General features: G+C 37.7%; 1 protein-coding gene and 3 pseudogenes across 2 annotated transcripts, besides 1 other annotated feature; 1 reads left to right on the top strand and 3 right to left on the bottom strand.

Annotated features, from left to right (window-relative positions):
- TERB2 (telomere repeat binding bouquet formation protein 2) lies at positions 769–23311 on the bottom strand. Of its 2 annotated transcripts, NM_152448.3 has the most exons (7): positions 23216–23311; positions 23021–23102; positions 21486–21625; positions 18414–18475; positions 13755–13840; positions 6043–6131; positions 769–1509 (listed from the first exon to the last, which is right to left on the bottom strand). In NM_152448.3, the coding sequence occupies exons 1-7, from the start codon at positions 23277–23279 to the stop codon at positions 1370–1372; spliced, it is 663 nt and encodes a 220-aa protein (NP_689661.1). In that variant the 5' UTR covers positions 23280–23311; the 3' UTR covers positions 769–1369. The 2 variants fall into 2 exon arrangements, with proteins under 2 accessions (NP_689661.1, XP_011519542.1); XM_011521240.3 differs by lacking the exons at positions 769–1509; positions 6043–6131; positions 13755–13840 and adding an exon at positions 16034–16166.
- RNU6-966P (RNA, U6 small nuclear 966, pseudogene) lies at positions 6338–6440 on the bottom strand (annotated as a pseudogene).
- Positions 7766–7944: a silencer, noted in NCBI's record as "fragment chr15:45264252-45264430 (GRCh37/hg19 assembly coordinates)". NCBI's record gives its function as "represses an EF-1alpha promoter that drives an FKBP-Casp9 reporter gene in an ReSE screen in HepG2 liver carcinoma cells {active_cell/tissue: HepG2}" and the evidence as "EXISTENCE:reporter gene assay evidence [ECO:0000049][PMID:32094911]".
- LOC100187725 (5-azacytidine induced 2 pseudogene) lies at positions 8684–10184 on the top strand (annotated as a pseudogene).
- On the bottom strand, positions 17065–17168 carry RNU6-1332P (RNA, U6 small nuclear 1332, pseudogene; annotated as a pseudogene).
- Positions 23312–24365: the final 1054 nt, after the last annotated feature.

Raw genomic sequence — 24365 nt, 5'->3', positions numbered from 1 at the left:
CTGTTTTTACAGTTGAATCCAAAAGCTTTTATGTGAAACTCCCCTCAACTCTGTAGCTGTTTGTGTAACTTCCCTTATCTATGAAGCTGTGTATGTAACTCTCCTTATCTTTGTATATCTTGGGTAAGCACAAAGTGCAGCTTCTCTTGTTTGTGTAACTGTGGGTCTGTTTTAGGCAAGCCCCTCACCTCCCTGTGCAAGTTCCCACAGAGCCCACCATGTAAATGCCTGAAAATGGGAGGAATTTTTTTCCTGAGAGCCTGCTAATCACACAAAGAACAAAGGCTCTATGCTGGGCCTTGCCTTCTTATCAGTGCAGGTGCAGTTTGGTTTTTCCCCAGGCTGCTCTATTTATGCCTGTAGCTGTGATTTTTTCAGGCTCTTTCTCAGAAGACTAGCCTTAGTGGTCTGCCTAACTGATTTTTCCTTTTCTTCTCCCTCACTATTTCAGCTTATTAAAAGGCAAGCATGTTGGCTTGTTTCTGGGTCTGCTTTGCGGATCTGCAGTTGTATTGTACCTGGCACAGAAGCTACAGCGTATGCTATTTGGGAGAGTGGGGAAGCACTTGCCTAGAAAATCAAGATGGTTGTGTTCCAATTCTGTTTTGGCCCCCAGTTAGTCCCCCTAAGTAAGACATCTTCTCAAGGTCCTTATTTCCTCATTAAAAACAATAAGTGAACTGGACTCGTTCTTTAAGTTCCATTCTAGAACTGTGATTCTAAGGTGACTTGCAGGTTCATCTAACAAGACATAACACTCATAGTCTGTTTATGTTAAGTCACTTTTGAGATATTTATTATTAGAAACCATCCAACATGAAATATGAATTATTAAAATGTTTTTCTCCATGTTTCAAACCAGAAACAGTAATTCAGAATGCAACTAGCATCCTAATTTTTAAAATCAAAATAAGATGACCAGATTAATAAAACTTAGCATTCACAGTATTCAATCTAGAAAAAATATAATTAATAGAATGTTAAAGCCAAAAGAACATTTGAAAGACAGAAAGAGAGAAGGGGAGGAGAGAAAGAGAGAGGGAAAAGAGAAAGCAAGAAAGAGGAGGAGGAGGAGGATTGAGAGATGGAGAGTTTGAGATTGAGACTTCTTATGAAATATATTTTAACGGCAATTACTCATTAACAACTGTGCATTGAGAATATTTGAACATGTTGTTAAAAGCTAGGGGAAAAATGTCAAAACACAGAACCAAAATGATTCTGTATTTCCTAAAGATATACTTTGAGAAACAGAAAAATTATTTCCCATTTCACTATCCCCCAGTACCAAAAGGGAGCATTTTATGATATGCACATCTGTATAATATTTTATAGAAAATAAATGCCAAGGTATTTACAATTTAATTTACTATTTCCTCTTCAATTTGTTTTTTATAGCAGACATATTAATTTCATTTTGAACATGATATGCCAAATATCCTGAGGTTCCAGGAATGAAGTCATGTAGCTCCCCAAGGAATTTCTTCATGGCATCAATTGATATATAACCTACAAAATAAAATTTAAAAAAAGATATATACTTAAAACCCGCTCATACTATTTGCTTTTCAGTGTCTTTGATTTATTAGAGTTAAGACTTCTAAAGAATGTTTTTAGAAAAGAAGTAAAAAGAAGAAATAATACCAGTGAGAAGATTCTCCATGAAACCTTATAATTATCCGGGAACACCTCCTCTTCCCCTCCCACAACTTTCTGCCACCTTTTAAAATATTAAAAGGTGGATTAAAGCTGCTTTGACTATTGAGATTGTGATGTCTAGGTTGGGGCTAGGACATAAAAGAACTTAGATAAAAATAACTGGGAAGTGTTTCTAGCTTAGACGGTAATCACTTAGAACTATCCATCCAACTAGCTACTAACAGTGCAAACAGTTCATCTTCCCTGTTCCAGCAGGCAACACTTTCCTGCACTGCTAACACTGGAATAGGATTCTTTTAACAAAAAAAGTTAATGAAAAATCGATGTTACTGCTCAGTCAACAAAGATAATGGGTGAGAGTAATTTTGATGTCAATTAGTTATCCAAAACAGATATGAGTCATATAAAAAAAACACTGCCTAGAATGGAGACAGCTTAAGGACTCTATGACTAAGCAATATTAACTTGATATCAATTGCTTACTATTTAAATGATTACATTTTATGTGTAATACAAGTGTTTGTGGCTTTTACTAAAATTGAAATCTAATTTAAAAATAAATATTGTGTGAAAAAAATTCTGGTAGAGCTCAAGGATGACTGAATTTAGAACACCATACCATCAAGATCAACAGGATATCCATGCATATTGTTTAATCATTTTTAATAAAAATAATAAATTCAGAGTTAATAAATTAACTATCAATCGAAGCACATAAAATTGACTAGTATCTTTAAAGATATTTTAATCATGGTCATTTACTTTAGGAGCTCTTGAAGCACTATTACTATACTCTATGAGTTCATAATCTTTGCCTAATGGCTATGTATCTGTGTAAAATAAACTAGTGCAGAAAAATATCACTATTAGTGTTTAGTTAATTGCACATATACACTGTGTGAAACCTCTGAAGATGTGTGAGGATAGGAATTTAAAAATTACTACATTAGTAAAAAATATTCCTATAAGTATAAGAAGGATAGGACATTTATGGCATCAGAAATAGATTATTGTAGCATTTTTGAATAGTTAAGGACTTTAGGATGAAATGGACAGAAACCTAATTTAAACTAACTTAAACAAAAGGGGAGTTTACTGGAAGGACATTGCCGTATCATCCGAGCTGTGAGGAAGGCAGGCATATTGCTGGGACTCAGAGTTAATTAGAACCAGCTATGATTGCTCTCACCAGTCTGAAGTTTTTAGGGTTTTTTTTTCTGGGGTGTGTGTGTGTGTGTGTTTTGACAGGGTCTTATTTTGTTGCCCATGCTGGAGTGCAGTGGCACTATCACACCTCACTGCAGCCTTGGTCTCAAGTTTTTCTCTATGTATTAGCCTCATTTTCCTTTTTGGAGGCAAGTTGGCTTTCTTTTCATGGTAGAAAATATGGCCAATGACAGCTCCTAAGTTTTACATCTTAGAGTTTTGATCACCTAAATGAGAATGACTTGATTTGCTATGTTCCACATCTAAAAATCCAGAAGAAGATCTGCAGTTAGCCCGGTTCAAATCAGCATTCACTCTCAAAGCAAATGTTGAGCATGGGGAGCAAGCTCATGTTTAAAAAAATGTCTGTTCCTGTGTTATCCAGATAAATTGGGAGGGAGAAGGGAATTCCTAAGAAAGGCACTCCTGGTGGACAATCCCACATGCATCTGTGATAGCCAGCCACCCAGTGGCCCCAACTGATCCCCACCTCCTGATATTCACAGTCCACTACGATTTTGTACTTGTTTTGATCTGTATAACCAATGGCATATGACAGAAGTGATGCAATGTCACTTCTGAGAGTCGGATGTAAAAAAGACTATGGCTTTTTTTCTTGGGCGTGCTCTTTCTTATTCTTGGATTTTTCACTCTGAGGGAAGCAAACTACCTACCATGCTGTGGATGGTCCTTATGGAGAGGCCCATTTGGTGAAGAGTTGAAGCCTTTGGCCAAAATCCAGCAAGGACCCAACACCTGCCAATAACCACTTGAATGAGGTTTGAAGTGGATTTTCCAGTCCCAGTTGTGCCTTGGAATGACTGCACTCCAGCTGACAACTTGACTGCAACCTTACAAAAAGCTGTGAGACAGAAGCATCCAGCTAGGATACTCCTGGATTTCTGACCTTAGAAACTGAAATAATAAATGTTCACTGGGTCAGGTGCGGTGGCTCGTACCTGGAATCCCAGCACTTTGGGAGGCCAAGGCAGGAGGATTGCTTGAGCCCAGGAGTTCGAGACCAGCCTGGGCAACACAGTGAGACCTCATCTCTATAATAAATAAATAAATAAATGTTCATTGTTTTAAGCTGCTAAGTTTTGGAGCACTTTGATTTACATCAATAAATAACTAATACAGCATCTACTGTAGATTTCCAAACTTTTAATTATCAGAACCTTTTGATTTGAAAATTGTTGCCAGCAAAGTATTTACAATTATTAGTAATTGCTTTCTTACTCTTATTAATCACATATGTAAATGTCAATCAGAACTTCTTATCATGGGTGATAATAAGTGATATTAGTCTGAGAAAATTTAATTCCAGTCAAAAGCTGAAAGCAAAACAAAAACTCTTTTGATGATTTAGGGGGATATTTGGCAATGTCTAGGGACATTTTTGGTTGTCACAACTGGGGGAGAGATGGGTGATGCTATTGGTATCTAGTGGGCAGATGCCAAGGTAAATATGCTATAATGCACAGGACTGACACTCATCTACCCTCGCCCAAACAAAGAATTATCTGGCCTAAAATGCCAGTAGCGCCAAAACTGAGAAACCCTGTTCTAGGCTATTGCCCCAACTTGTATTTTCTATAACTAAAGACCACAATTAATTCTATTTTCAGAAATTTAATAGTCAATGTGTTGAACCCAACCCATTCCAAAGAAGAGATAGTGAAGTTTTAGTCACAAAAATTGATACCACAGCCTAAATTAGTACTCTTAGTCACTAAATGTTTAATTAACACAAGCTGATTTCTTCCAACAAGAAGTTATTCCTTCCTGTGCAAGCAGATGGGCATGATAAAAAAAGAGAAGTATTTGTCATTTCACATCAAAATTAAAAACAAATACATTATCTCTAAAAATGAAGATTTCTCCCAAGAAATTGCTATTATTTAATGCAGAAATACAAAAAAGGAAATTTATTCAATTGAGCAAATAAAAAGATTAAAAATTTTTACTTTAGTTCTACCAATAAAATTCACAACAGAGTATTACCACAGGTTGAAATTATACTTTTAAAATTCTGACTAATTTTTTAATAGTTTTTAAAAATTTGTTTTTATGTTATACTGTTATGTCTTTTTGAACAATCAGACTGTTTCTTTATCCAGCAATAATACAAAAAGCAGCACTATTACATGTCCAAATGTAGGTATATGTCCTTATGTATGGCTGATTTTAATATTTATCATTGCTCTCTTAAATATATTAATAAATGTTTGGTAAGTCCAAATGAACAGGGATAGTAATATGGCAAGACATCTATGATCTAGGAAGCTGTGGACTAGCTGCAAGAGGTAGTTTTAACATTGCTAAATAAAGAGAAAATGATAAATATACAAATTATTTTTTAAATAAGCTTTCAAAAACCCATACTTTAAAAATTGCTCTTTTAAAAGCAATTTTTTAAAAAAATCTCTATTTTTAAAATTGTTATCAGTGACTCCACTGAATACTACTCAGATCAAAGTATCTAAATATCCATCTCACTCAACACAGTTGAAATCCCAATGGCCACTTTTCAGTTGGTTCCCTTGGTTCTACCCTCTCAATGTCAGCCGTGGTTAGTTGTCTTCTCTTTATGTACAGCACTAGGATAGGAAACCCAAATAAGGAGTCCATGGACATCTGGGTAATCCATGTATAGGCTTCTGGGCATCTGTGAGCCTTTTACAATTATATGCAAAGTTTGTGTGTTATGTTTTTGTTTGGTTTTTAAAATATTTATATATTTGATATTGAATGGAATGGCAGTGTGTGTGTTATGTTTCTATGTGTGTATGCTAAGGAAAGGGGCCTATGTTTCATCAGATTCTCAAAAGAAACTCTGATTGGAGCTGTTCATATAATTTATCTTCCAAACTGGGACACTTGAGAATTAAAAACTAATGCCAGAACAACAGCTTAAACTGGGACTGTCTCATGTAAATAGGGACATGTGGTCACCCTACCTTGATACCATTGTTTTAGCACAGAAAATTTAAAAGCATATTCCTGGGTCAATTCTGCAGGTAATTTATTCAATATTTAAGTGATGTGTCCTCCATTACCAGGCTTACTAGAGAAGGCTCTACTCTCTAGGTATCTGAAGTACAACAGCTTTATTCAACACAATATTCCCTTGTTTCTTTCCTACCTGAGTTTACTCTAAATTTTATTTTAAACTACCTGTTACCATGTTGTTAACTGGGTAATTCTGTAGAGGGAAGTACATCTGCTTTTCTACAACTGGAGTTCTTATAAAATGCTTTTCTGGGCTGTAAAATAAAGCATACAGAAAGTCACACATACATAGTATATATATGTCTATATGTATTACATTTATATTAAAGTATATTTATAAATAAATATTTATAATACATAATTACCTTTACTATAGTATACTATACCACATATGTATATATTTGGATTTGTTTTACAAGTAAGAACTTATTCCAGGCAATATATATAGTGATTTTTTAAAAATATATAGAATGCTTCACAAATTTGCTTGTCATCCTTGCGCAGGGGCCATGCTAACCTCTGAATAGTTCCAGTTTTGGTATATGTGCTGTCAAAGTGAGCACATATATAGTAATTTAATTGCTCTTTGATCAGACTTCAGTCTTAATGGGTGAAAATGTTAATTATGAACTTCTTTTGTGCTTTTAAGTAATATAAAGACCCATATAGATATTCTAGTGTTCTTAGCCGCTTCACAAAACAAGTATTTGAGTCTATAGAGTCCTGGGTCTTTTTCTCCATATCCCTGAAAGTACAATAATGCAATACTATATATTTAGACAAAATACACATATACATATACAGTATTAAATCTGCCAAAAGAAAAGCATAGTAGATTCTATTTTAAATGATCACAACATGTTTGTTAGTATTCAAATAATTGGGCATCTATTAACTAGTATTTCCATAGTTTACTATAACAAATAAAAACTGATGTCTAGGCGAGGCGCAGTGGCTCACACCTGTAAATCTGGCACTTTGGGAGGCCGAGGCAGGTGGATCACCTGAGGTCAGGAGTTCGAGACCAGCCTGGCCAACATGGTGAAAGCCCATCTCTACTAAAAATACAAATCAGCTGGGTGTGGTGGCACCCACCTGTAATCCCAGCTACTCGGAAGGTTGAGGCAGGAGAATTGCTTGAACCCAGGAGGCAGAGGTTGCAGTGAGCCAAGATCGTACCACTGCACTCCAGCTTGGGCAACAGAACGAGACTCCACCTCAAAAAAAAAAAAACAATTGATGTTCTAATTATACAATTATAAAATCTAAAAAAATGTATATTCTTATTTTTAAAAGCTAAAAGGTGGCCAGGAACAGTGGTTCACGCCTATAATCCCAGCATTTTGGGAGACAGAGGTGGGCGGATCACTTAAGGTCAGGAGTTTGAGACCACCCTGGCCAACATGGTGAAACCCTGTCTCTACTAAAAATACAAAAATTAGCCAGGTGTGGTGGCGAGCAGCTGTAATCCCAGCTATTCGGGAGGCTGAGGCAAGAGAATTGCTTGAACCTGGGAGGTGGAGGTTGCAGTGAGCTGAGATGGCGCCACTGGAACTCTAGCCTAGGTGACAGAGCCAGACTCTGTCTCAAAAAAAAAAAAAAAGCTAAAAGGATCTCAACTAAAAGATCCTATTTTCATTCATGTTTTGAACAGTCACTATTCAAAAATGACAATGTTTACTATACTTAGATCACATATAACTAACAATATAATTGTATAAAAATAAAAACCTCAATAATTAAAAATTGGAGTCATCCTTAAATTTATTATTTTCCTAAAAATCTAGAAGTACACTGAGTAATAGCAAAGGCTTTATTTTCCATTTTTAAGGCCTGGTGCAGTAGCTCACGCCTGTAATCCCAGCACTTTGGGAGGCCGAGGCGGGTGGATCACCTGAGGTCAGGAGTTCACAACCGGCCTGGCCAACATGGTGAAACCCTGTCTCTAATAAAAATACAAAAAAATAGCCAGGCGTGGTGGCACATGCCTGTAATCCCAGCTACTCAGGAGGCTGAAGCAGGAGAATCACTTGAACCTGGGAGGCGGAGGTTGCAGTGAGCCAAGATCGCGCCATTGCACTCCAGCCTGGGCAACAAGAACGAAACTCTGTCTCAAAAAAAAAAAAAAAAAAAAAAAAAGCTTCTATTTCATTTAAACTCTCCCAAAAGAAACTCTACTCATCAGGATGAGGTCCTACAAATAAAGCAAAATTGTGTTCCCAGAAAAGTCAGGGACCACCCACTATTTAATTCTGGCCAAACAATAAGAGATAAAGGGAAAAAAGGAGGGGGGGGGATGAAAAGGAAGAGATGTTGTGAAAGAAGGAATACTTTCATTATTTTATTTTACTATTTTTTTTTTCGGAGGACAGAGTCTTGCTCTGTCACCCAGGCTGGAGTGCAGTGGCATGGTCTTGGCTTACTGCAAGCTCAGGCCTCCCAGGTTCAGGCCATTTTCCTGCCTCAGCCTCCCAAGTAGCTGGGACTACAGGCACCCGCCACCACACCTGGCTAATTTTTTGTATTTTTAGTAGACACGGGGTTTAACTGTGTTTGCCAGGATGGTCTCAATCTCCTGACCTCGTGATCCGCCTGCCTGGGCCTCCCAAAGTGCTGGGATTACAGGCGTGAGCCACCGCACCCAGCTGGAATACTTTCATTATTAACAAATGATATGACTGTGCACCCTGAAGAGCCAAGAGAGAATCGATTAAAATATCCTTAGAATCAATTAAAATATCCTTAGAATCTTAAGGAATTCCAAATGGGTAGATATAAGACCAATATCCTCATTTCAATAACTCAGAGTGGCTGCTTTCGCTGGTTAAGTGGAGGTATCTTCAGGGAAATCTGAACCCGTGATGATCCCTGGCAACCCGATCTGTTTTTGGCTGTTTCTAAACATTAGGGAATGGAAACTCCGTGGCGGCTCTAAGTAGCCTGGTTTCAGGCTCTCATGGATGCACTGATAGAAGGTGACACCTGTATGCTAAATTATGAGAAAACCCCAGCAACTCCAGTTTCAACATATTGAGGAGATGCTTCTGTTGCTTCCCAATTTGCCCATATGAAGACATCAAAAAAGGACTTAAGGATTCAGAGAAAGAGAAATCTTATGTTAAAGAAAAGAATTAGATTTTTGGAAGAAAAGCTTATAGGAGCTCAATTAGATGAAGAAACAAGTTTTGTGGAATACCAACAAGTAAATAAGGCCTATTCTGTATATTGAAAGATTTGCATTGAGAGATGATTTAAAGAGCAAATTGGATAAAATGAGTAAACACAACTCTGAATCTTTAAAAGTATTGAATAAACAGATGCAATCTAAAGAAGTAGAACTCTAGCTAAGGACAGAGGTGGAAACTCAGCTGGTGATGAGGAATTTCAATCCACCTTCATCAAACTGGGAGGTGGAAAAGTTAAGCTGTAACCTGAAGATCCACGGTTTGGAACAAGAGTTGATGAGGAAAGAAGGTAACGATCTCAAAATAGAACTACTCAAAAACCAAACAAACCTATCTGTATGAGGAAGACAATCTTGAAGAGCAGAGATCTCTGAAGAGTAAGAACTTCAAGTGATAATACACAGAATGTATACTGGCAACTGAAGAGATAAATGTCTAATTTATATCTGGTGACTCAAATGCTAGCTGAACTATTAAGAAAACTGGAAACCCCAACTGCAATCAAGAAAGCCTGCACCTCAGTAAGATGCATTGAAGACCCTTGGAAAGACAGCACAAAACTGCACATGATGAATTTTACTGCAACATACACAAGACATCCCCTTCCCTGACCAAATGGCAAAGTTCTTTTTTATACTACATCTTCCTCTTTACCAGGAGATATAAAGGTTTTATCAGAGAAAGCAGTCCTCCAATCACGGACAGATAATGAGAGAGCCATTCCTAATGAGGGCACACACTCTTATGGCAGAAATTCTCTGGAAGATCATTTTGAGTATTCCCAATCCCTCCTGACTCAAGTGAGACAGCATTTAGGGAAATTAAAGTAAAATTTTGCCTTCTAACCAATGTGCCACTACTGCATTACTTGGATCAACATAATAAAAATTTCCTTTATAAGACTTAACTCTGAAGAGACTCATCATTTGATCACAAGGACACTGTCTCTCAGTGGTTCTCTCAAGAAATTACTTAACAAACTAAACGTAGATTTTGATTAAAATTTTGTAGAGTTCTTTAGTATATGCATTTGAACATACTGTATGATATTATGTAGTTTATTTCCAATATGAAAGAATACCCTCCAGCTCCATATTCTAAGAAACAGATATATGCTACTAATTTTTTTTTTTTTTTTGATACATGGCCTCACTCTTTCACCTTGGTTGAAGCACAGTGGAATGACCATAGATAGCTCACTGCAAACCTCAACTCCTGGGCTTAAGCAATCCTCCTGCCCCAGCCTCCCAAGTAGCTAGGACTACAGGAGTACACCACTACACCCAGTTAATTTTTTTTTTTTATCTTTTGTAGTGACTGGCTCTCTCTCTGTTGCTCAGACTGGTCTTGAACTCCTGGCCTCAAGCTATCCTCATGGCTCAGCTTTCCAAAGTGCTGGGATGACAGGTGTGAGCCACCATGCCTGGCCTGCTACTATACTAATTAATAAATACCTTGGGCCCAGAAGTTCAAGACCAGCCTCAGCAGCATAGTGAGATGCCATCTTGACAAAAAAAAAATTTAATTAGGCTGGGCGAGTTGGCGCACACCTATAATCCCAGCACTTTGGGAGGCCTAGGAGGGTGGATTGCTTGAGGCCAGGAGTTTGAGACCAGCCTGGCCAACATGGCAAAAAAAAGTTTCTATTAAAAACACCAAGAAAAATTGGCTAGACGGGGTGGTACACAGCTGTAGTCACAGCTACTCAGGAGGCTGAGGCACGAAAGTTGCTTGAACCCAGGAGGTGGAGGTTGCAGAGGATATAGTGAGCCAAGATTGTGCCACTGTACTCCAGCCTGGGTGACAGAGCGAGACCCTGTCTAATTAATTTTTTTAATTAGCCAGGCGTGGTGGCCCACATCTGCGGTCCTAGCTACTCAGGAGGCTGAGGTGGGAGGATTGCCTGAACTCCTGGGAGTTCCAGGTTGCAGTGAGCTATGATCATGCTACCTCACTGCAGCTTGGGTGACACAGCAAGATCCTGTCTCTCTCTCTCTCACACACACAAACTAAGTAAATAAATAAGGTGTTTAAGAAAGAAAAAAAACTCCTCTTTATACCATAATTTCCACATCCGATAATTTACATGAAGAAAACTATCAAAAAAGTAGAGCAAGATTTATTTTTAAAAAGATGTTCATGGAAGTGTCATAAAAGTAACAAATTCTAGGCCAGGTGTGGTGGCTCATGCCTGTAATCCTAGCAGCATTCTGGGTGGCTGAGGAGGGAGGATCTCTCACTTCAGCCTGGGAGGTTGAGGCTGCAGTGAACTGAAATCGTGCCACTGCACTCCACCCCTGGGGGTCAGAGTGAGCTTTTGTCTCAAAAAAAAAAAAAAAAAAAAAAAAAAAGGTTAAACAAAATGAAATGCCATATGCTGCCAGTACACATCATAATATCAAATAAGATTTTTCGGCCAGGCACGGGTGGTTTATGCCTGCAATCCCAGAACTTTGGGAGGCTGAAGCAGGTGGATCACTTGAGGCCAGGAATTTGAGACCAGCCTGGGCAACATGGCCAAACCCCGTCTCTACTAAAAATACAAACAATTAGCTGGTGTGGTGGGGTGGCATGTGCCTGTAGTCCCAGCTGCTCGGGAGGCCAAGGCACAAGAATTGCTTGAACCCAGGAGGCAGAGGTTGCAGTGAGCCGAGATCACGCCACTGCACTCCAGCCTGGGCAACAGACTAAGATTCTGTCTCAATTAAAAACAAAAAATGAAGGTTATCACTGGGAGAGGATTTGGGAGAAATTAGGATTTTATACTAATTCTGTACTGCCTGATTTTTCATACATCAAGTTTGTATGATGTAAAAAAAATCAACGTCCCTAGTACTATGCTAACAAATGCTTCAGCAGGTAAATTGAGGGTATATTTTATCTGTGTTCACACTGCACCCTCTGGTGTTTCCACAGAGAAAAGGCTCTAAGTAGACACCTACCTAGGGTTTATTCATATCCTTTGTCCATTTCTGTTGTTTTTGGATTGGACATATTTTTCCCAGATTTCTAATACCTCTTTGTATATTAAGGAAATTAGCCCTTATGGGAGAAAAACTTGAAAAAATTATATAAATTACATCATTACTTTTTATTTTGAAGAAAGATAACTACTATTTGATCATTTATATTACAGCAGCTAAATACCAGACTGTAGGGTACCCCAGTCCCATCCTCCCCTCCCCTGATTCCACTCCTGGCTTGCTTTCTGTGTCCTGACCAAAAATCACAGAGGGCTTTGACTGCTCTGTGAGACAGCCCAGTGCAGGGTTTTCCCATCAGGCTTGAACTCAAACCAGGACCTTAAACATTTCCAGGCACTGATAAAGGTATCTAGGTTGCTGCTCAAAACACTGAAAGAAACTGGCCTCAGCCCTGAGCCAGATTCCTTAAACCCTCATATAAACTCCATACCCAGACCCCCTCACTGTGGATATACCTAGGTAGAACACCCCTTATATCTTGTCCATTGCAAGGATTGGTGCGATACTCTGCAAGTTCCCTCAATAAATGCTTTAGACTGATTACTCTAGCTAGTGGTTCTTTCTTTAGAATCCCAACTGGCCCCAGCTTGGGACTGTTTGGGGCACTCCGTTGTGGGGATTCCCCTGCCTCCACTTTTAGATTGACTCCGGCCACAGGTTTGGAGGGATAAAACAGACTTCTGAAGAACCAATGTTCCCTATGAATATTTGAAAACCAACTGAATTGGAAAATATGAAGCTAGGACTAGATCATGTATAAGCCTGCAATGAGAAGGCCTCTTATAAACTGTTCCTAATACAATGGCAAGGCCATGTTTGTTTGTCTTTTTAAATTAATTTCTTGTTTTTCTTTGAGACAGAGTATTGTTCTGTCACCCAGGCTAGAGTGCAGTGGCGTGATCACGGCTCACTGCGGTCTCAACCTCCTGGGCTCAAGCGATCCTCCCACCTCAGCCTCCAAATAGCTGGGACTATAGGTATGTGCCACTATGCCCAGCTAGTATTTTAAATTTTTTATAGAGGTGGGGTATCCCTATGCTGCCCAGACTGGTCTCAAATTCCTAGGCTCAAGCAGTCATCCGGCTTCAGCCTCCCTAAGTGCTGAGATTACAAGCATGCGGCACAATGCCCAAATTTAATTTCTTAAACCAACGTAATATATTAAAGCAATTTGGAAAGAAGATGGGAAATCACTCACCACTTTTCATCCTAATAAAATTACTGCTAATATGTAGTGTATTTCCTTCCAAGTAAAAAATATATTTTAAGATTCTTTTGTAGTTCATAAGTGTGATGATGGGGTTTTCACACACAGATACGTATAATTTTTAAATAATTTATTAACTGCTATCATAACATACATAAAATCCTTGTCTCCTTTCTGCAGAGACAGTATAGTGTGCTATACTATGAGATAGTATAGTATTCTACATAGTAAATACCTGGTATAGTATTTAATGACTACCATTTAAATAATGGGCTCTGACTCAGTGCAAATCCTGCTTCTCCCGTACTTAATAAAGTTTGTATGACTTTGGGGAAATTGCTTATCTTTCTAATCATAGATCTCTTTTTTTTGTATAATGGGAATGATTATAATGCTATCTATCTCATAGGAAAACTGAAAATTAAATGAGATAAGCACACAATCAGTGCTCACAGATTTCTACATTGAATTGAATATTAATGAAGTTTCTGAATTCAATACCTTTTGGATAATTCTTTTTTGTGCTCTGTTGCTAGTTCACTGTTTTCCCTAAGGGTCTTTATTTCATTTGGTGTTACTTCATCATGCTGTGGATAGAAAAGTAAATCACATTTTAAAAAATCGTCATACCAGTGATCCAATCAGTAATGTTTTTAAAAAGGAAAAATAAACTGGAAATATATATCTCAAAAGCCATAAAAATATTTACACATTTAAGTCCACTCAATCTAGCTGAGTGAAGAAAATTTACAAAATTTTTTCCACACACACATATAATTATACTATATATTTTTGGAGACACATAAAGAAGACCAGAATTTTAAATATACCAGCTGTGGTTATGTCAGATAAGTAAAACTTTAACTGATTTTATTCTCTTTTCAATTATTGAAATTTCCTCTAATGTGGTTATATTACTTTTTAGTCACAAAAATAAGGAAACAAAAAATCTTGCTACTGATTTAAACTTCCTTAAAATCCTTGACTTAGGGATTCCTGTGAGCTACAAATCAAAAATATAAAGTAAGCTGAACAAATTATATTTCTCCTTCAAAAGGACAGTGAAGTATTTGCTTCACTATATACATAAAGATATAAAATATATATCTTTATATAGATATATATTTATATATCTATTAAATATATAAATCTATATGATATATAGATTTATATAATATATAGATATATAAATATATAATATATAAATGTATAATATATAATTATATATATCTATATAAATATAATATATATCTATATAAATATATATCTTTATAAATATATATATCTTTATAAATATATATTTATATATTTATAAAGGTATAAAATATATAACTCAAAAATATAAAGAAAGCTGAACAAATTATATTTCTCCTTCAAAAGGACAGTGAAGTATTTGCTTCACTATATACGTAAAGATATATATGTAAAGATACAAAATAACTAAACATATGTTAAGCTTTTTCCAAATATTCTGTGAAAGCAACTTAGATACTGGTACCTATCATATAATCTATTTATTTTATATACCAGTAAGAAGTTTCTTTTTTTTCCTTTTCTTTTTTTTTTTTTTTTTTTTTTTTTTGAGACAGAGTCTTGCTCTGTCACCCAGGCTGGAGTACAGTGGCAAAATCTCGGCTCACTGCAACCTCCGCCTCCCAAGTTCAAGCAATTCTCCTGCCTCAGCCTCTCGAGTAGTTGAGATTACAGGCGCCAGCCACCACATCTGGCAAATTTTTTGTATTTTTAGTAGAGACGGGGTTTTGCCATGTTGCCCAGGTTGGTTTTGAACTCCCAAGCTCAGGCAATCGGCCCGCCCCAGCCTCCCAAAATGCCAGGATTACAGGCGCGACCCACTGCGCCCAGCCACCATTAAGAAGTTTCTATATTTAAATAAAAACTTAAATCCACTCCAAACAATTGTAATGCTCCCCAGATTTACCCTAGTTATTGCCATTCAATGAATACCTTCCACGTATATATTCTATGGTTACATTATTATAATTGGCTAATACTCATATCAACCAATATTTTGAAAGAATTGACAAATTCTTTTATCATGTAATAATATAACTTCTAGAGTCAACGTCCATACAAGCACGTTTTAGTAATTTTTTAGTAGAAAAAACATTGGATTGGGTTAGAGCTGAGAAAATTTGGCTCCACTTTGCCAATGTGTACTAAAATGGGTCATTATATTTTCTTTACCTTAGTTTTCTCATGTATAAAGCTAAATGATGAAATTAATGATCTTTAAACTCTAAAGTTCTGCTAGAGTCAATAATTACCACCAAATAATAACCATTGCATTACTGCTCACATTCCTGGAAACACTGTGAAAAGTCAAGGATTAGATATTTCAGTCCTTAGTACAACATACTATTACCTCCTAGAAAAAAAAACTGAAAGAACTATTATTTTCAGATGATGATGCCTTGGGAAGAAAAAACAAATTAATGACAGAAATATAAAATATATAAGTTGATGGCCTGATTTTGGACATAATGTAAAGGTTTTCTATATGATATGGCTGTGGGTTTGAAGTTTAAAAAAAATAAAATAAAAATGAAAGATTTTCTCCCTAACTCTTTGTTGTGAAAAATTTCAAACTTACCACAAAGTTAAAGAATAGTACAATAGGCCAGGCACAGTGGCTCACGCCTGTAATCCCAGCACTTTGGGAGGCCAAGGCAGGCGGATCACGAGGTCAGGAGATTGAGACCATCCCGGCCAACATGGTGAAACCCCGTCTCTACTAAAAATACAAAAAGTAGCTGGGTGTGGTGGCGGGTGCCTGTAATCCCAGCTACTCGGGAGGCTGAGGCACGAGAATCGCTTCAACCCAGGAGGTGGTGGTCGCAGTAAGCTTGAGATCCCGCCACTTCACTCCACCCTGGCGACAGAACGAGGCTCCATCTCAAAAAAAAAAAAAAAAAAAAAAAAGAATAGTATAATAAATACCATATACCTTTCACCTAGATTCACAAAGTGTTAACATTTCTGACACCTTGAGTGCCTCCTCTCTCTTTTTATTTTTGTGGAACCACTTGAAAACATTTGCAGATATGACATTTCCACTCTCTAATACCTGGCATGTGTTTTCTAAAAATATACATTGTTTTATCTTTACAACACCACTATCACACTTAAGAAAATAAAATGTAATACAGTATCACCCATTATACAGTTCATTGTTAAATTTTCCCAATTGCTCTCCAAATGTCTTTTATACCTCTTTTTTATGTCTCTTAATCTACTATGCTCCTATTGCTTTTTTTGTATTTTATGACATTAACTGATGTTAGAGTCCAGGTCGGTTAATTGTCTTGTGGTATGGTCCATATTCTGGATTTGTCTGAATGTTAACTCATAATTAAATTCGGGTTAAATGTTTTGAACAAGAATACTACACAGATAATATTGTGTATTTATTATATCATATCTGACTGAACATAATGAAAGGTTGCTCCAATATTGGTGATGCTGTTTGCTAAGTTAGTTAAATGGTGCCTGCCAGATCGCTCCATTGTAAAGATACGCTGTTTTACTTTGTAACTAATATTCAATCTGTGGGTGATAATTTGAGATCATAGGTTTAGAATCCATTAATGACCTTATCTAAATCAATTATTAAATTGAGGGTTTTAAAAATGGTGATTTTTCTATTTTATCTTTCTTTCTATATTTACCAGCTGCTATTTATGTAAAAGAAAATTTTCCTTCTCCCACCCTTATCTTCCTTATTTTCTTCCTTCTTTCCTTTCTTCCTTCTGTCCTTCCTTTTTTCTTTATGTCTGCTTTTGGAGTATCATATACACGTATGGAATGCTTCACGAATTTGCGTGTCATCTTTGCACAGGGGCCATGCTAATCTCTGTATTGTTCCAATTTTAGTATGTGTGCTGCCGAAGCAAGCACATGGATTCTTTTTACCTAACATATTATAATCCATTATTGTCATTATTAGTTTTAATGCTCAATTGTTCCCAAATTTGGCTATTACTTAAAGATTTTGAAGTAAGTCAAAAGCGTAAGTAAATCTGAGGCAGGATGGCAAAAGCTACAAAACAGCTATTTTTCCAGTATTGTACACTTTTCTTCTTCTTGTTTTGGTTAATCAGGCAGCCCCCGAACCAGAATAGGTTCAGACAGACTCTTGTACACATTTATTGAGGCGTGTTATTCAAAACATTGAACAAACTGTGCATCATAGGAATTCACCAATCAGAGTCTACACTGGCAGTAAAGAACTGGTAAATGGCAGGGCGCGGTGGCTCACGCCTGTAATCCCAGCACTTTGGGAGGCCGAGGCGGGCGGATCACGAGGTCAGGAGATTGAGACCATCCTGGCTAACACGGTGAAACCCTGTCTCTACTAAAAATACAAAAAAAAAAAAAAATAGCTGGGCTTGGTGGCTGGCGCCCGTGGTCCCAGCTACTCTGGAGGCTGAGGCAGGAGAATGGCGTGAACCCGGGAGGCGGAGCTTGCAGTGAGCCGAGATCGCACCACTGCACTCCAGTCTAGGCGACAGAGGGAGACTCTGTCTCCAAAAAAAAAAAAAAAGAACTGGTAAATACTATGCACCTGTTATTCTCTTCTTATTAGTAACAGAAGCAAATTTTCAAGTTTCTTATGGGAATAATTTTATTTATACAAAATAACCTCAATTTTACTAATGCACTACTATAAAACAATGTCGAACCAAGTAATATTCAATAACAGCATGCCCTTTAAATTTCTTAATCTGTGCTGGGCACAGTGGCTCACGCCTGTAATCCCAGCACTTCGGGAGGTCAAGGTGGGCGGATCACTTGAGGGCCAGAGTTCGAGAACAGCCTGGCCAACATGGTGAAACCCCATCTCTACTAAAAATAAAAAAATTAGCCGGGCGTGGTGGCACACGCCCATAATCCCAGCTACTTGGGAGGCTGAGGCAGGAGAATCGCTTGAACCCAGAAGGCAAAGGTTGCAGTGAGCCGAGATCGCGTTGCTACACTCCAGCCTGGGAGACAGAGTGAGACTCCGTCTCAAAATAAATAAATCAATCTCTTAATCTGACTCATTGGTGCTAACATGTCACAAATAAACATTTTAAAGATAACCTTGCTTTCAGAAAATGTTGAAGCTGTAGATGCTAATCAAGTACCTTAATTTACTCTTACCTTTTCTATCAGAAAATGTTGGTCTTGTTCCCAAATAAAACTACCAATTTTTCTTCTTATTTCTGTGGTGAGAAAAACAAATCCAATACTGTTTTGGTTTTTTTTTTTAAGAATCTTCTGAATTTTGCTTAAAGTCTGAAATTTCTAGGCCAGTGTTATTCTATTTGCAACAAAATCACATAACACACTTGTTAAAATGCAGATTCCTATTGAATCAGATCATTGAGGAGGAGCTCTGGAATTTGCATTTCTAACAAACTCTCCAGATGATTCTAATACACTTTGCTAATCATTGTTGTAGACGTTTCCTGCTAGAATATATCTATATCTATATTTGTATCTCTACATTAGATGTGTGTGTGTGTGTGTATATATATATATATATATATATATCATTGAGGTATGTTCATCCACTCTTCTATCTATATTTGTATCTACATATATATTAAATATACATCAATATCTATATCTGTATCATTAGATATACATTAGATGTATATGTATATATGTATGTATAGATATACCTCTGCATTTATAGATATATATCTCTCTATATAATGCATATGTATCTATATAATGCATTAGATATATATTAGATGTATATCTAATGTCTATATAGCTATAGATATTGATACAGATACACATATATAGATATAGATATAAATGAAGGATGGATTAACAATATGTCTAGTAAACATGGTAGTACAGGAATTCTACAATGGTCAGTATGTCAAAGGACAATGTCATCATCCAAACTCAATGATCTCAAAAGTTTTCACAGTAGTCAAAAGGACAAAAAAGGTAATATTACTCTAGACTTTTGCTGTCCAGTATGGCAGCCACTAGCTACATGTAGGTACTGAGCACTGGAAATGTGTGGTTAATCCAAATTGAGAGGTGCTGTAAGTATAAAATAAATACAGGATTTTGAAGACTTAGTATCAAAAACAGAATGTAGGGTATCTCAATTTTTATAGATTATATATTGAAATAATATTTTAGATATATTAGGTTAAATAAAATATATTTCTAAAATTAATTCTACTCAATTATGTAATTAATTTTTTTAGAGAAGGGCGTCTCAGCATGTTGCCCAGGCTGGAATGCAGTGGCTATTCACAGGGGTGATCATGGTGCACTGCAGCCTCAAATTCCTGGGTTCAAGGGATCCTCCCATCTCAGCCTCTAGAGTAGCTGGGATTACAGGTGCATGCCACCTCACCCAGTTATTTTTTATTCTTAGTAATGTGGCTACTAGAAAATGTAAAATTCATATGTGGCTCACATTTGCACCTCACACTTCTACTAGACAATAGGCAGATTAAAAAGGTATACTTTTAATTTTTTAAAAGAAGCATGTTTTCATTTAAAACAGATTTTTGAAAATTTAAATACATGTTAACATAAGATGCTAAACTCAAAGACAGAATAGGAGTGATAATTTAAAATCATATAAGTAAATAGGAGTGATAAATTAAATCACAGCCATTCTACAATATAAGTTCCTTGAAGGTGGGTATTCACTGATTGGCACAAGTAGTTTTTAAAATCAATTCCCCCATCCAGTCATTAATTGATTTATGTAACTACTTAGAACAATTTAGTGTTATTACTTATAAGTAGGTTTGACCAGGACATTGACTATGGAAGGAACCAAATCTCTGGGGTTTCTAATGGCTCTTTTATAGAAATAATTTTTAAGTTGTTTGTTTTCTTTTTAATACTCTCCTCACTGGGAATATGTACTCAGCTTTAATCTGTCTTTCTGGAGATGAACACGTATCTACGATATGTATGATAACACGTATCTTGATATGTAGACAAGCTACATATCAGGAATTGATATGCTTGCCACCTACATATCAAGAATTGAGTAATAATAAGAAACCTACCCATGGGCTAGTTAAAGTTAGCCCAGGCCAGGCGCAATGGCTCATGCCTGTATTCCCAGCACTTTGGGGGGCTGAGGCGGGTGGATCACTTGAGGTCAGGAATTCAAGACCAGCCTGGCCAACTTGGTGAAACCCCATGTCTATTAAAAATATAAAAATTAGCCGGGTGTGGTGGTGGGCGCCTGTAGTCCCAGCTACTTAGGAGGCTGAGGCAGGAGAATCGCTTGAACCCAGGAGGTGGAGTTGCAGTGAGCTGAGATCACACCATTGCACTCCAGCCTGGACGACAGAGTAAGACTCCATCTCAAAATAATAATAATAAAGTTAGCCCAGAAAAAATAGGCAGGATTTGGGTAGAAGAACGGTATAAGAAAGGGTGTTCCAAGCAGGGAAAATTAAAAGAACCAATCTCAGAAGCAGTTTATTTACTTCCCCATCCTATTTCCTAGGGCTGCTGAAAAAATTGATGTGAAAGTGCTTTCAAATGTATTTTAAAAAATACAGATACATGGGTTTATTATCATAACCAATCTTTAAATATCAGAAGAAAAAATTAGAAAAATAATGAAGAGATTCAAAAGTAGGAAAGAACACATTTATTAAATGCTCACATCAGACACCTTAATACATTATCTTATTTTTAGAAATAATTTGAAATTATTAAAATAAATAGAGACAGGGTCTCACCATGTTACCCTGTTGCCCAGTCTAGTCTTGAACTCCTGGGCTCAAGTGATCTGCCCGCCTCAGTTTCCCAAAGTGCTGGGATTACAGGCACGCCCTACCGCACCCGGCCTATTATCTCATTTTATCCTCAAAACAACTTCAGAAAGTAACTTGCTAAATGATCACAAAACTAGTAAGCATTAGATCGTAGCCTGTGAAGGCAAGATCTGCACTGTTTTATTCTCCACTGAATCCCCAGCACCTACCCAGGTTGAAACCTGGCACACAGGAAGAGCTCAATGAATGTATGAATAAACAATACATAAACAAAGTCAGGATATACACCCAAGGCAATCTGATCCAAAGTCCATGCTTTTTCCACTTATGTTAAATAGATACAAAATTCAAAAATATGTGACTGAGAACAAAATAAGTACAGTTGAATTTGGCTGTTTAACAGAGATTAGCTGGATTTGGCTGTCTGACAGGGATTGGCTGAATGATCTTTGCTAACCTTTTTGCAGGCACGCAGGAGGAAGAATGAAATGACCCAAAGCCACCGAGTTTTTTATTTTGGCATTAGCTACCGCAGAGAGATAGTAGGCATGAAAAACTGTAGCATTATCTTCTATGTAATCAAGGCTCTGATATATTCTAGGAGAAAGAAAGGAAATATTTTAGGTTATGAAAGAAACAAGAATGTATTTAACCTTTCAAAAGAATAAATAAATCACTGGAAGTAGGGAGACGATTACATTGAAGCATACATGTATGCTGTCCTTTTCTGGCAAGGAAGGAAAAACATATGGCATAAGATACTCTTTTCTGGGGGCCTATATCTGGCACATCTCAGCTTTACAGGGTTGGTTAATCATCATATGAATTAGGAAACTTGATCTAAAACGGTCGTGTTCACTGGGCATCAACAGTGGATTGAGCTAGCAGCCTATGGGGCTTATCCATGGTCATTGCTATAAAGAGGGATCAATTAATCCTGAGGTGAGGAGTGTGCATGCAGTCAGAGAAAGCTTCACATATAGAAAGCAACATCTTTTCTATAGGTGGAGATAAGAAGAGCATTACAAGAAAAAGGCATGCATGAACAATAATGGCAGTTCGGGTTGACTGGGCTACGGAAGTCATGAGAAAAACTGGGAAATAAACAAGGCAGGCACAGCCACGATCTAAATCTGTAGGAAATCAGCAGCTTGGGGGTGGGGGCGGGAGTGAGGAAAGGAGGGTGGTAGGGCCCTGATCTGATGTCTGGTTTGTAAACGAAATCTGATAGCCATGCGAAGGGGGATCTCAGGGAACAGATTCGAGGCACAGTAACGGCTTAGGAAGTTACTCTGATAGTCCCGGCGAAAACGGAATTAAGGTGCTACTAAGTTAGTGTCAGTGAGGATGAAGAACAATTACAGGGATCTAATTCATGGTATTCGGCCTCTGACTGATTCATGGCGTAGGGTTGTTATTCAAAGTTATTCAAAGTTTTGGAGAACACAGGCCCTGGCGCAGGTATGAGGGGAAATGACAAGATTTGATTTAGACATTGAGTATGAGGGGCCTTCAAGGCGCTACATGCGGGTGTAGAAGAGGCAGCTGGAAACACACACTTGGAATTCAGGAAGAGGCCCGAGGACCAGGGAGAAGCCTGTGACACTGCAGCAGAAAGGAAAGGAGGTTGTCTATTTCTTTCCCTCAAATCTAGGACTGAAAACTTGCTCGTTTTCAGTCTCACCCTATCGTCAATATTATTTATTTATTTTTTATTTTATTGTATTTTATTACTTTATTTATGTTTTTTTTTTTTGAGATGGAATCTTGCTCTGTCACCCAGGCTGGAGTGCAGTGGTGCGATCTTGGCTCACTGCAACCTCCGCCTCCCGAGTTCAAGCGATTCTCCTGCTTCAGTCTTCCCAGTAGCTGGGATTATAGGTGTCCGCCACCGCGCCCAGCCTCATCAATATTTATTAGTGGACTGCAACTTCCATCCCTAACTCCCGGCTCATCCTAACATAAGAGGCACTGCCAGGTCGCCCTCAGTACCTCAGCGTGTCTGGGTGCGAGGCATCACAGCTGAACAAGAAGTCGGCGGCTCGCGGGTCACTGATCGTTCCCCCTTCAGCCACTGTGGAGGTAAGAGCACAGGGTGAACCTATCAAGCACCCTGGACCCAAAGCATCAGAGAGAGGAGGATGCTCCCCTCACCACCTAACCCGCTGCTTCCACTCAGCTTCCTACCCCAGAATTGCCTCAGATCCTGGCTAACGCTGCCGCAAAACCAACCGCGCTGCCCTTGAAACATGGCGTCGCCAAGCCTGTGGAGATGTGAGAGAGGAGGCCGCAGAGCTGAGATCCCTGATTGGTTCCAGGTCCAAAGTCAAGCTCGATGATTGGTTCTCAAGAGGAATGGCCGGGAAGGGCCTGAGGCCCTCAGATAAGGGACAGTCACTACCAGACTGAGCTGACTGGTTCTCGGGATCACTTAGGGGCCTCTCAGCCTTCCCCTGATAAGAGGAGGGCGGCGACTCGAGTTGGTGAGGGTTTTTTGTTTGGTTGGTTTTGTTTTAAATTTTGAGGTGGGGAGTTTTAAACCCTAAATATTAACAAAGTTACCATGCTTTATGTTTACAGGCATAGGGCAGATTCTGCAGCATCAAGTATTATTTTTGAAGCAAAATTCATTTCATCATTTCATCTATAAATGTTTCACTTTGAATCCCTGAAAAGTGAGGACTTAAAAAACATACACACAACCGCGACACCATTCTCACACTTAAAAGATAGTTCTTTAATATAGTCAAATAGCACCAGTGTTCAAATTTCTGTTTTACTCAAAATTGTTTTCCTTTTACAGTTTCCCACCTCTTACATCAGTTGTGATAAGTAGTTATATTTTTCTGGTGTTGTCTTCCTTTAAACATTAAAAAATTGTTTATATAAAGTTGTCCATAAAGTCTTTTACTTTTTTAATATCTGAGGGATCTCTAGTCATGGTTCTTGTTCTCATTTTTTTGTCCTTGTTTTTAAATTTTTCCTCCTACTTTAGTCACCTCTCTGACAATCTTTTTTTCATTTCTGATACTGGTCATTTGTGCCTTCCCTTTTTTTATTTCCTAATCTGATTAGAACTTCGTCAATTTTTTAGCCTTTTCAAAGAACATACTTCTGGTTTTATTGATATTCTCTTCATGTATTTCTTTTCTATATCATTAATTTTAGCTCTTTATAATTTCCTTCCACTTTTCTTTCTTTAAAATTGCTGTTCTTAGGCTGGGCGCAGTGGCTCATGCCTGTAATCCCAGCACTTTCGGAGGCCTAGGTCGGGGGATCACTTGAGGTCAGGAGTTCGAGACCAGCCTGGCCAGCATGGTGAAACCCCATCTCTACT

The sequence above is a fragment of the Homo sapiens genome, chromosome 15 (genome assembly GCF_000001405.40).
Source record: "Homo sapiens chromosome 15, GRCh38.p14 Primary Assembly".
NCBI classification, from domain to species: domain Eukaryota; kingdom Metazoa; phylum Chordata; class Mammalia; order Primates; family Hominidae; genus Homo; species Homo sapiens.
This window is presented reverse-complemented; position numbering and strand designations above follow the sequence as displayed.